The following is a 12,744-nucleotide window of genomic DNA, read 5'->3' on the forward strand; positions in this document are numbered from 1 at the left end:
GGCTAACACGGTGAAACCCCGTCTCTACTAAAAATACAAAAAATTAGCCGGGCGTGGTGGCGGCCGCCTGTAGTCCCAGCTACTTGGGAAGCTGAGGCAGGAGAATGCTGTGAACCCGGGAGGCAGAGCTTGCAGTGAGCCGAGATCGCGCCACTGCACTCCAGCATGAGTGACAGAGTGAGACTCCGTCTCAAAAAAAAAAAAGAACCTCTGTCCTAGAGCATTTATAATTCACTACAGAAATGTATTCTATGAAGGACTTTAATACCATCAGTCAGCCTTATCCAGACGATCTCAATTCTAATCCTGTCACCACCACTTTCTGACTGAGGGCTATTGGAGAATTTTCTCAACTTCTCTGTGCCTCCCTTACCTCATCAATTATTATTATGTATGTGTATGTGTGTGTGTGTATATATATATATATGTGTGTGTGTGTATATATATATGTGTGTGTGTGTGTGTATATATATATATATATATATATTTTTTTTTTTTTTTTTTTTTTTTTCTGAGACAGAGTCTCACTCTGTCACCCAGGCTGGAGTGCAGTGGCACAATCTTAGCTCACTGCAACCTCCACCTTTTGTGTTCATGCGATTCTCCTGCCTCAGCCTCCTGTATAGCTGGGAACACAGGCGTCCGCCACCACACCCGGCTAATTGTTGTATTTTTAGCAGAGACGGGGTTTCACCATGTTGGCCAGGCTGGTCTCGAGCTCCTGACCTCAGGTGTTCCACCCACCTCGGCCTCCCAAAGTACTGTGGTTACAGGCGTGAGCCACTGCTCCCAGCCTATTTTTATTTACTTTTTTTTTTTTTTTTTTTTTGAGACGGAGTCTCGCTCTTTCGCCCAGGCCAGACTGCAGTGGCGCTGTCTCTGCTCACTGCAACCTCCGCCTCCCGGGTTCACGCCATTCTCCTGCCTCAGCCTCCCGAGTAGCTGGGACTACAGGTGCCCGCCACCGCGCCCGGCTAATTTTTTGTATTTTTAGTAGAGTCGGGGTTTCACCGTGTTAGCCAGGATGGTCTCCATCTCCTGACCTCGTGATCCGCCCGCCTCGGCCTCGCAAAGTGCTGGGATTACAGGCGTGAGCCACCGCGCCCGGCCTTTTATTTACTTTTTGAGACAGGGCCTGGCTCTGTCACCCAGGCTGGAGTGCAATGGTGCAATCACAGCTCCCTGTAGCCTCAACCTCCTGGGCTCAGGCAATTCTCCCACCTCAGCCTCCCGAGTAGCTGAGACTACATACGCATGCCATCACTGCTGGCTAATTTTTGTGGTTTTGTTTTGTTTTTTATAGAGACGGGGTCTCGCCATGTTGCCGAGGCTGGTCTCAAACTCCTGGTCTCAAGCAATCCTCCTGTCTCCGCCTCCCAAGTGCTGGGATTATAGGCATGAGCCACCCGCGTCTCATCAATTAAATAAATAACCCCTAGGACGACTAAGATGTCTTCAAGATTACATGAGATCCCACATCTGAAGGTTTTTGCAAAGGACTTGGCACAAACTCGTGCGACTAGACATGGATATGGCTCTTGCTCTGGAAAGGATCACCTTGATAGGAGCAAACAAAGCTGGTCTTCGGTGCCCTTTAATCTCCCCTCCCAGCCTTCCACCTTCCACACTTTAAGAGTCGTCCCTGCCGACCCCCCGACCCCGTTTTTCTGAACCTCCCTTCCTCCCCTTGCATAGTCCAAAGCCTCTCTCTAAAGCAGCCCCCCGAAAACATCTGTCAAGTTCCAAACTTATCTGAATCGGAAGCTACCAATAGCCAACCTACATCTAAGGGGAACTGTAAGATTTCAGAAGAACAAGAAGCATAGGTCGCTTAGGCGTGGGCCACCCAAGAAGAGAGACTTAACACTAGGTAAGCCCGCGCTGGCTGCGAAGGCGGGAGCGGCACCAGGACCATCCAGGGCGCAGGCGCAGGGACCTCACGGCCACGCCACTACTCAGCCCGAGCTGGCCAATGGGGAGCGGCGGCCGGAAGAACGCGCGGCTTCGCTAGGTTCCGCGGCTTCCTCTGACCAAGCTTGACGTCACCAAAGCGCGCCGGAAATGCGAGGTCAACTGCGCGCCGCTGGCGCTGAGGGGAGGAAGTTTGCTGTCGAGCGGCCTGGGTTCCGTGGGCAAGGCCGTGGGAGGCAGCGTTGGCTGCTTCGACACACTGAGGGCGGCGCGATGGGAGACGAGATGGATGCCATGATTCCCGAGCGGGAGATGAAGGTCAGAGACTAACCGGGGCCTCCCTCCCTTCTTTAGTCCTGGCGTTGCCTTGGAGCCCAGCTGAAAGGCGAAGCGCGGTGCTGGCTGTCCCGCCTCCTGCTTGAACAGTTTACCGCGTTCACAGCTCTCACCAGCGCGTCTGCCGCGCCGCTGGCGTGATAGCCCCACCGAATGCAGTTTCCCAGTCCCATCCTGGTCTCGTGCACGGCTGTTGAGTTACCCTAGCTACTTCCTGGGGCGGTCACAATAGTGGCAATAACTGCTGTTTATTGAGTGTTGACTGTGTGCCAGGCACTGTGGTAGTCATCGCGGCAGCCCTACGAAGTAGTCGTTAACGTAGAGGAGTAAGTTGAGGCTCGGAAAGTAATTTCCCTAAAGTCACATTTGACGCGGGGCTGAAAGCCAGCATCATTTAAGACCTTTGCTCTCCCAGTACTTCTGTAAGGTGATACGGGCTTGCCTAACGTAGAGTCAGGGAAGGTCATCCATCCTGCAGAACCTTTAGTTGATTGGACTAGGAAGACTATTTTGACCTCGGTATATCAGCCTAAAGTCAGGAACCTAAAGGGAGGGCCAAGTGGTCCCAGTGATAGCAACGTGGGAGTCCCCCAGGGATAACTTCAGGATGGTGTGTTTAATAGTTCTTATATGGGTTCTGACAGAATGAGGGTACAACAGACGGGCTACATCTGTTTTAAATAGTGAAAAGAAGTAAGTTGCAGGAAGATTTTAGGCATCTGTGTGAACAATAAATCACTAAAATGCATTTAGGGCATAGTAATACCATGTTTAGAATAGTGATTTTTTTTTTTTTTTGAGACAGAGTCTTGCTCTGTCACCCAAGCTGGAGTGCAGTGGCATGATCTCGGCTCCCTGCAACCTCCACCTCCCCGGCTCAAGCGATTCTCCTGCTTCAACCTCCCTAGTAGCTGGTATTACAGGCGCCTGCCACCACGCCCCACTAATTTTTTATATCATTTGGTAGAGACTGGGTTTCACGATGTTGGCCAGGCTGGTCTCGAACTCCTGACCTAACGTGATCCGCCCTCCTCTGGCTCCCAAAGTGCTGGGATTATAGGCGTGAGCTACCGTGCTGTCCTAGAATAGTGATTATTTTTTGAGAATCACCACCTGTGGTGAGCCACCTAATGGGGTTGTGTCATATTCCTCAGATATGCTGGGGTAGAAGAAAAAAAGGTTTTATTAATAGAACCACAGACTTAGAAGATGGTAATCTCGCACTCCCTTTGGCAGCACATATAAAATTGGGATCATGCAGAGAAGACTATTATGGCCCCTTTACATGGATGACAGACAAATTCATGAAGTGTTCCATATCAGAAAAAAATGAGGGCCGAGTGTGGTGGCTCATGCCTGTGAGCTTGCACTTTGGGAGGCTGAGGTGGATGGATCACTTGAGGTCCGGAGTTCGAGACTAGCCTGGCCAACATAATGAAACCCTGTGTCTACTAAAAATACAAAAATTAGATGGCCATGGTGGCGGGTGCCTGTAATCCCAGCTACTTGGGAGTCTGAAGCAGGAGAATCGCTTGAACCTGGGAGGCAGAGGTTGCAGTGAGCCAAGATCGCTGCACTGCACTCCAGCCTGGACGACAGAGCGAGACTCCATCTCAAAAAAGAAAAAAAGACAATTGAGACAGACCTTGGTCTCAGTAATACATATTTTTGTTGTACTGAAATTGGGTCTACTGAATATAACATGTTTTAATTTCTTTCTTTATTGAATTGATCTCGTTTTGATTCTTCACAACAGGATTTTCAGTTTAGAGCGCTAAAGAAGGTGAGAATCTTTGACTCCCCTGAGGAATTGCCCAAGGAACGCTCGAGTCTGCTTGCTGTGTCCAACAAATATGGTCTGGTCTTCGCTGGTGGAGCCAGTGGCTTGCAGATTTTTCCTACTAAAAATCTTCTTATTCAAAATAAACCCGGAGATGATCCCAACAAAATAGGTAAGTTCCCTGGTTTATGTTGCAAAGTAGAGAGAGGAGTATGGTGGCATGCTCTTGTGTTTCCTTCCCAAGAAGTCATTCTAATACTAAAATGAACACTGCTGTCAGTTTGAAGGTTGACTCCCAAGAAGATTAATGGAAGCCTTTCTAGGTTTTCTCCTTGGTCCTTTGTATTTCTCCTTACATGAGTTGTTCCTCTCAGCTCAACAGGGAAGAACTTAACCATTATGCCATGCTTTTATTTTTGCTCAGTTGAACTTGGGCTCTGGCTCTCTGGGTGAAGGGTTTTATTGGCATGGGTTTTCAGTTGGCACAACAGTATGATCCAAACTATTGGCAAGGTGTACTATTTAGAGCATTGTTGCAAAAATATTTTCAACAAGGGCAGCAGCCACAGTTAGTTTCCCCAGATTGTATGAGGAAGAATTCCAGGGATACTTAATCCATCATTATATATCTTTAAGAAAGTTAAGATTTATCTGTATAACTAGGTATTGGGGTGTATGTGTGTTTATGTAGATGCAAAAATTTTTTCACATCGAACTGGATAGAGGTTGTGGCTTTATGCTTAGAACATACCGTTTTCTGCTTTGTATTTTTTTGTTTTCATAGTTGATAAAGTCCAAGGCTTGCTAGTTCCTATGAAATTCCCAATCCATCACCTGGCCTTGAGCTGTGATAACCTCACACTCTCTGCGTGCATGATGTCCAGTGAATATGGTTCCATTATTGCTTTTTTTGATGTTCGCACATTCTCAAATGAGGTAAGCTACTGTTATACTGTGATGTCAACATGAGAACCCTAAGCAGATTTCCTTGTATTGAATTACAACTTGGAAGCTTCATAGGTTAACCCTTGAAGTTTCTCTCTAGATTAAAATATGGGTTAAAAAAAAATCCTTAATTATAGAATCATAGATCTTTGAGACAGAAGGGACTTCAAGAAATTCTTTCATAACGCCATCTGCCCTAAGTTGTTATCAGGAGGCTTAGGTGACTTGCCCAAAGTCATAGATGAATACATAATGTCAAAAGTTCCTACATTTTGGATGTTCTTCCATTCCAAGCAGTTTAAGAATGATAATAATAGTGAGTGTTTATACTGACTGTGTGTGTTAGACTCTGTACTAAGTGCTTTATATGCCTTGTCCCTCGTTCATGCCTACCACAGCCTTATGTAGTAGGTACTATTATCTTCATTTTATAGGTAGAGAAACAGGCTCAGAGTTTAAGTAACTGTCCAAGGTCCCAACATTATTAAGAAGCAGAGCCAAGATTTTAATCTATTGTCTGCTATTTATTGGTTATTTTGCAATTGTGCATTCCCCTTCTGAGAGTCCCCCTAAGCATGTTAGAATAATTGATTGCCATTTTCAAAGTTGTGTTGAAATTGTCTATAGCAAATAGATTGATGCATAAAACAATCTTTTTTTATGGTTATGGAGAAAAATAAACTGATTTGAGATACCTTGTGTATTCAGTAATTTCCATTGAATATTAAATGTTTCTGCATTTACTATTTGTTAACTTATTTCACTTTTGCATATTTGTTTTAAAAGGCTAAACAGCAAAAACGCCCATTTGCCTATCATAAGCTTTTGAAAGATGCAGGAGGCATGGTGATTGATATGAAGTGGAACCCCACTGTCCCCTCCATGGTGGCAGTTTGTCTGGCTGATGGTAGTATTGCTGTCCTGCAAGTCACGGAAACAGTGAAAGTATGTGCAACTCTTCCTTCCACGGTAGCAGTAACCTCTGGTGAGTAATAAAGGCTTTCACACTGTAGCATACAATCATGGTCATCTACTTAAGAATTGATTTCTAGAAGTGAAAGTGGATAGCTTTTTGTGTTTTGGTTTTTTTTTTCATGACGAGGGAGGTTAAGGATGGAAGGTATTCTTTTTTGAGACAGTCTCACTGTGTCGCCCAGGCTGGAGTACAGTGGCATCATCTCAGCCACTGCAACCTCCACCTCCTGGGTTCAAGCAATTCTCGTGCCTCGGCCACCCAAATAGCTGGGATTATAGACATGCGCCACCATGCCCAGCTAATTTTTGTATTTTTTGTAGAGACAAGGTTTCACCATGTTGGCCAGGCTGGTCTTGAACTCCTGACCTCAAGTGATCTGCCCTCCTCCACCCCGCATATGCTAGGATTACAGGTGTGAGGCACTGTGCCCGGCTGAGAGTATTCTTTATACCCATAGTTAATGTCCTTGAAGCCAAACAGCATACATAATTTAACCTGAATGTACTTGGGATTTCTGGAGAAATATTTTGGTACAGCTGGTTTAGAAGTGTTTTTTGGGAATAATTGTTTCTGGATCTGTAACGGTGGTACTCTGAAAGTCATTTGTACCTTTGGGCGGAAAAGCATTTTAAATATTAAATGGGAGCAGGAGAATGATTTCTGGTTTTGTTTTTTTTTTTTTGTTTTTTTTTTGAGACAGAGTCTTGCTCTGTCGCCCAGGCTGGAGTGCAGTGGCGCGATCTCAGCTCACTGCAACCTCCACCTGCTGGGTTCAAGCAATTCTCTTGCCTCAGACTCCAGAGTAGTTGGGATTACAGGTGCCTGCCACCATGCCCAGCTAATTTTTGTATATTTTAGTAGAGACGGGGTTTCACCATGTTGGCCAGGCTGGTCTTGAACTTCTGACCTCAAGTGATCCGTCCGTCTCATCCTCCCAAAGTGCTGGGATTACAGGCATGAGCCACTGTGCCCGGCCAGTGATTTCTTGGTATTTGGAAACCTTCTCTGTTCTCCTTGTCTTATGTAAAGACTACAGAGTTTTCTGTATTTTGCAGCTTTCTGGGCAGTAATCTATTGAAAAAGCATTTTTAGCTTTCAATTCAATAGCCCAGTGATAAATCAATTGGCTTATATCGTTAAAATGATTTTACTTTTTTCCACTTTGCCTGATAGAGATGATCCTACAATCTTCCATGGACTGACAGAGGAATGAGAATTGATAATTAGCTGTGTGTGATAGATCTTATTGGTTTGCTCCATTTTCTTGTTTTCATTTGGTAATACTGTCTTTGCTCAGTGTGCTGGAGCCCCAAAGGAAAGCAGCTGGCAGTGGGAAAACAGAATGGAACTGTGGTCCAGTATCTTCCTGTAAGTTCTTATCTTGAACTTCAGAATTTTTCTTAAGTTGCCCACTTTTTTGGGGGTGGTTTGGGAGTATCTTTCTTGTTTTTCCTATTAAAAAGTAATTTATACTCATTGTAACAAATCCATCAGTGAATGAAGAGTGGAACTCTTCCCTTTCCCATAGTCCTTCTTCCAGAGGCACCCACTATGTTGTGTTGAGTAGATAGCCTTCCATACTTTTCTGGATGTTATACAAATAGTCTATGGGTAGCTGCTTTTTTTTTGTTGTTGTTTTTATGTAAAATGTGATCATACGCTATGCGCTGTTCCCCACCTTTTTCAGTCCATTCCATAAAAACAGCTCAAGGGAAAAGAGTTAGTGAAAAAACTATGATGATAATGCAGAATCACTCTGGGTTAAAGCACAGTATTTGTCTTTTAACTGAGTCTGTCTTTAAAGGTCTGTTTGTCTAACTATGGGCACCAAAGAAAATGGATACTCTTGTTGCATGTGCACTCTGTCATCCTCCCTGTGAATTTCTTGAAATAATGTTCACAAATATCCTTCAATATCAATTGAGTTGCAAGGAACCCCCATATGTCTATTGAGCCTGGACACGAAGGAGGGATTCACAGGTGGTGCTAAGGCCTTTCTTGTGCCTTCCTCCTCAAGACTGTTCTCTGGCGAGGAGGGGAGCAGAGTGGTGAATGTAGGTGGTATAGGTTTAAGGTTAAGGTTATGTTTCTTATTTGTTATTACCAAAAGTTACCTGAAATTTGGTACATAATCTTTTAGGACACTAACCTGTAAAAAGATAATGCAATTTTTTAAATTTTCTTGCTTTGCTGTTTGCCTTAATTTTTTATTTATTTATTATTATTTTTTTTTGAGAGATGGTCTTGCTCTGTTGCCCAGGCTGGGGTGCAATGGTGTGATAACGTAATGGTTCACTGCAGCCTCAGCCTCCTGGGCTCAGGTGATCCTTCCACTTCAGCCTCCCGGGTAGCTGAGACTACAGGCACTTGCCACCATGCACAGCTAATTTTTGTATTTTTTGTAGAGATAGGGTTTTGCCATGTTGCCCAGGCTGGTCTCAAACTCCTGGGCTCAAGCAGTGTGCCCACCTTGGCCTTCCAAAGTGCTGGGATTACAGACATGAGCCACCTCGCCCAGCCTTATTCCACTATTGATGATTGTCTGCATCAGTGCTAGTGGCGTTGCTGCTGCAAATGGTGTTGCATTGACTACTCTCATTACCTATATCTGAACATGTTCATGCGTTCATGCGTTTCTTTTCTTTTCTTTCTTTTTTTTTTTTTTTTGGAGACCAAGTTTTGCTTTTGTCACCCAGGCTGGAGTGCAATGACGTGATTTCAGCTCACCGCAACCTATGCCTCCTGGGTTCAAGCAGTTCTCCTGCCTCAGCCTCCCGAGTAGCTGGGATTACGGCACCCGCCACCACACCCAGCTATGTATTTTTAGTAGAGACGGGGTTTCGCCATGTTGGCCAGGCTAGTCTCGAACTCCTGACCTCAGGTGATCCACCTGCCTCGGCCTCCCAAAGTGTTGAGATTACAGGCATGAGTCACCACACCCAGCCACGTTCATGGGTTTCTGTAGGATGAAGTCCTGGAAGTAGATAGCACTATTCTGTTTCTTCAGTCTCTCCCGGCCAAGGAGATGGAACAGGTAGCATCTAAGGAATAGATTAGATTTGACAGTTTGATTGGTTTAGGATTTGTTTCATTTGATACTTTATTTTCCCCTCCAAATCTCTTTCAGACTTTGCAGGAAAAAAAAGTCATTCCTTGTCCTCCGTTTTATGAGTCAGATCATCCTGTCAGAGGTAACAACTGCTTTTCTTATTGGGCTGACCTCTAATGACATGTTATGTATATTACAGAAATTCAAAATCATGTAATGTACCTGCTCAGTGAGGTATTGGTGTTTGCTTTATGAATAATGTCACTATTTCAAACAGCTAATTAAGTCAGTGTAAATTATGGCCCTCTGGGTGACATCTGTGTTTCACGATAAATGACATGAAATGGATCCCGACTTTTTATTACAATTCTTCATAATTTGCCCTGATTATAATCCAGCAGAAAAATTACCATTTGGGGATGAGTTTGGGCTTCTTGGGTCATTGTACCTGTGCATTATATTTAGTCAATGAAATCAGGGCCTTTGATTTTTTTTTTATCCATAGTGGCTATTCCAAACATAAGCTGCTTTTTCTTGTATCTGGTTGCTGTCATTTTTATGAGCTACTGATTAAGATGTGTCTTTCAGTTCTGGATGTGCTGTGGATTGGTACCTACGTCTTCGCCATAGTGTATGCTGCTGCAGATGGGACCCTGGAAACGTCTCCAGATGTGGTGATGGCTCTACTACCGGTATGCCTGTGGAAGAAATTTCATTGTTTGAGAATTAGAGAAGTCTTCTAATAAAGCTGGAGGCTTTGATTTCAAGGGGTTTTTTTGTGTTTGTGTTTTTTTTTTTTTTTTTTGAGACAAGATCTCACTCTGTCGCCCAGGCTAGAGTGCAGTGATGCGATCTCACCTCACTGAAGCCTGGACCTCCTGGACTCAAGTGATCCTCCCACCTTAGCCTTCTGAGTAGCTGGTACTACAGGTGCACACCACTATGCCTGGCTAATTTTTTTTTTTTGGTAGAGATGGAGTTTCACCATGTTGCCCAGGCTGGTCTTGAACTCCTGAGCTCAAGTGATCTGCCCACCTAGGCTTCTCAAAGTGCTGGGATTACAGGTGTGCGTCACCGCACCTGGCCTGATTTCAGGTTCTTTTACTTACTGGCAGTGATTATGCAACTTCAGGTATAAGGTTTCCATGCTGCACCATGGGCCAGGGGTCTAAAATTGGAGTGTCCACAGCATGTTCTACTGTTATGAGGTTAAAAAAAAAATGATTTTGCTTAAGCTATAAACTATGAGTCTTGGTTAACTCGATAAATTTTAGAAAAGCAAGACAGTATCTTGATTTTTAAAATTATTTCATTTGCTCTCGAATATTTAATGCCAACAGTGTGCTAGGCACTGCTTTAAAGCTGAGTATATAGCAGTGATCAAGGTGATGGGCTTGCTTTTATGGTTTTAAGTTTGTTGTTGTTGTTAATTTTTATTTATTTTTTAGAGACAGAATCTCACTCTGTTGCCCAGGCTGGCATGTAGTGGTGCGATCACAGCTCACTACAGCCTCAAATTCTTGGGCTTAAGCCATCCTCCTGCCTCAGCCTCCCGAGTAGTTGGGACCACAGGCATGCACCAACACAGCCAGCTGTTTTTAAATTTTTCGCAGAGGTAGGGTCTTGCTTTGTTGCCCACGCTGGTCTCGGACTCCTGGCTTTAAGCAGTTCTCCCGCCTCATCTCTCAGAGCACTAGGATTACAGGTTTGAGCCACCACACCTGGCTGGTCTTACATTTTAATGGGATAGTCAATACTAAATGTGAGATCAAGGACTGATAAGAGTGATGGAGAAAATAAAGCCGTGTTAGGGATAGATGATGACTGGTATGTGTTTGAGATTGTGTGTCAAGGGAGGCCAATTTGATACTTGAAAAAGATGTCTTGTTTTTAACTCTTTTGGATTTCTAATAAGGTTGAGTTTTTGAAATATGTTTATCTAGATGCCTTATTTTAAGATTAGAGGTTTTTTCTATTCTAGGGGATAATATTAACACTAGTATTTATTAACTGCTACTTATGTTTCATGTACTGGGCTGGAAGTTTTGTATGTATCATTTCATTTTACACTTTACAGTAGCCTCTGAAGTAGGCTTAGTAGGTCTAGTATACACATGAGAACACTAAGTATCAGGAAGGTTGAAAAATCTGCATGTCTCGTGGGCAGAAAGTGGCAGAACAGAGTTTAAATGCAGTTCGGTTGATGGCCAATGTTTGTACTCCTTGTACTAAGTGCTGCCTTTATACCATGTCCGTATATCTGGACTTTGAGTAAATATTCTCATATAACTTTAAATGATTTATTATTTGAGATTCTTTTGCTGTGGGATCTGAGAAAAATTGCACATGAGAATTTTTTTTCTTGCTTTGTTCATTGTAGAAAAAAGAAGAAAAGCACCCAGAGATATTTGTGAACTTTATGGAGCCCTGTTATGGCAGCTGCACGGAGAGACAGCATCATTACTACCTCAGTTACATTGAGGAATGGTGAGCAGAGAGTCTGGACAGGGCATTCCTGCTCTCACTGGAAGATCACACCTGAGTCACCTTGTCCCATGTTGAAATCTTTTCTGATTGATTGATTGATGGATTGGCAGGGTCTCACTCCATTACCCAGGCTGGAGTGCAGTGGCACGATTGTAGCTCACAGAAGCCTGGAACTCCCAGGCTCAAGTGATCCTTCCACCTCAGCCTCCCAGATGGGACTACAAGCACATGCCACCACACCTGGCTTATTTTTAAATAAGTTTTTTGGTTTTTGTTTTTTGTTTTTAGAGATGGGATCTTGCTATGTTGCTCAGACTGGCTTCCCAAAGTACTGAGATTACAGGTGTGAGCTACCGCACCCAGCCTGAAATCTTTTCCATTACAGAGGAAAATGGAGGCTGAGATGCCTTGAACATATTTTCAGCTGATTCTTGATAATGTCTTTCTATTATTTCTGTTTCCCCAATCTTGAATTATTTATCTTAAATACATACTAATTTCAAAAATCTAATTTTCTCAATAACCCCTAGTGATGACTTACGAAAATATTGATATTCAAGGAATATATTAAAAGTTTCCTGAGAGCAGAGTTGCCCTTTGGAATGGAGATTACTCAAAGCAAAGCTTCCATCCCTCTAGCTACATTATTCTGCCTTTGGATGGCATATTGATTGTGAACTGTGACTTGATTCTGTTGTGTCTTTCCTTTGTCTTCATGTAGGTAGGCACTGAGCTGATTCTACAGGGCTTTCTCACAGAAACTAAAAAGTTCAGCTTTACATCTAGAATCTTCCCACCTTTGTTCAACCAGATAAAAAACCTTACTCTCTCTTTGACATGTGGAGGCAGCCCTCACAGGTGTTACCTGCAGACCCAGGTTAGCTTAGAACTATTGCTGTATTTGAACGTAATGGTCTCTGGTTTTATTCTTTAAGGGATTTAGTGCTGGCAGCATCTGCGGCTTCAACAGAAGTTAGTATCCTTGCTCGACAAAGTGATCAGGTAAATCTCTTTTTTGTCACTTCTGTGGTGCTTTCTTTTTTAAATTATTATTTTGAGACAGTCTCGCTCTGTTGTCCAGGCTGGAGTGCAGTGGTGCAATTTCAGCTTACTGCAACCTCTGCCTTCCAAGTTCAAGCAATTTTGTGCCTCAGCCTCCCAAGTAGCTGGGACTGTAGGCGCGGGCCACCACACCTGGCTGATTTTTATATTTTTAGTAGTGACTGGGTTTCGCCATGTTGGCCAGGCTGGTCACAAACT

At 43.8% G+C, this 12,744-nt stretch overlaps 1 protein-coding gene and 1 pseudogene across 2 annotated transcripts in view, besides 2 other annotated features; both read left to right on the forward strand.

Annotated features, from left to right (window-relative positions):
* Nucleotides 1,965-2,264: an enhancer, noted in NCBI's record as "active region_29170". NCBI's record gives its function as "activates an Ori minimal core promoter by ATAC-STARR-seq in GM12878 lymphoblastoid cells {active_cell/tissue: GM12878}" and the evidence as "EXISTENCE:reporter gene assay evidence [ECO:0000049][PMID:35858748]".
* Nucleotides 2,066-12,744, forward strand: part of NUP214 (nucleoporin 214) — a 109,078-nt gene continuing 98,399 nt past the window's right edge. For both annotated transcript variants that reach the window (NM_005085.4, NM_001318324.2), the window contains exons 1-9: nt 2,066-2,229; nt 4,004-4,199; nt 4,812-4,963; nt 5,759-5,957; nt 7,246-7,316; nt 9,076-9,139; nt 9,586-9,689; nt 11,378-11,484; nt 12,420-12,486. In NM_005085.4, the coding sequence (NP_005076.3) occupies nt 2,185-2,229; nt 4,004-4,199; nt 4,812-4,963; nt 5,759-5,957; nt 7,246-7,316; nt 9,076-9,139; nt 9,586-9,689; nt 11,378-11,484; nt 12,420-12,486 (1,005 nt within the window). In that variant the 5' untranslated portion in view covers nt 2,066-2,184. The remainder of the gene's footprint in view (nt 2,230-4,003; nt 4,200-4,811; nt 4,964-5,758; nt 5,958-7,245; nt 7,317-9,075; nt 9,140-9,585; nt 9,690-11,377; nt 11,485-12,419; nt 12,487-12,744) is intronic.
* On the forward strand, nt 3,470-3,571 carry RNU6-881P (RNA, U6 small nuclear 881, pseudogene; annotated as a pseudogene).
* Nucleotides 8,143-8,317: a silencer, noted in NCBI's record as "fragment chr9:134007050-134007224 (GRCh37/hg19 assembly coordinates)". NCBI's record gives its function as "represses an EF-1alpha promoter that drives an FKBP-Casp9 reporter gene in an ReSE screen in K562 erythroleukemia cells {active_cell/tissue: K562}" and the evidence as "EXISTENCE:reporter gene assay evidence [ECO:0000049][PMID:32094911]".

The sequence above is a fragment of the Homo sapiens genome, chromosome 9 (genome assembly GCF_000001405.40).
Source record: "Homo sapiens chromosome 9, GRCh38.p14 Primary Assembly".
Lineage (NCBI taxonomy): Eukaryota > Metazoa > Chordata > Mammalia > Primates > Hominidae > Homo > Homo sapiens.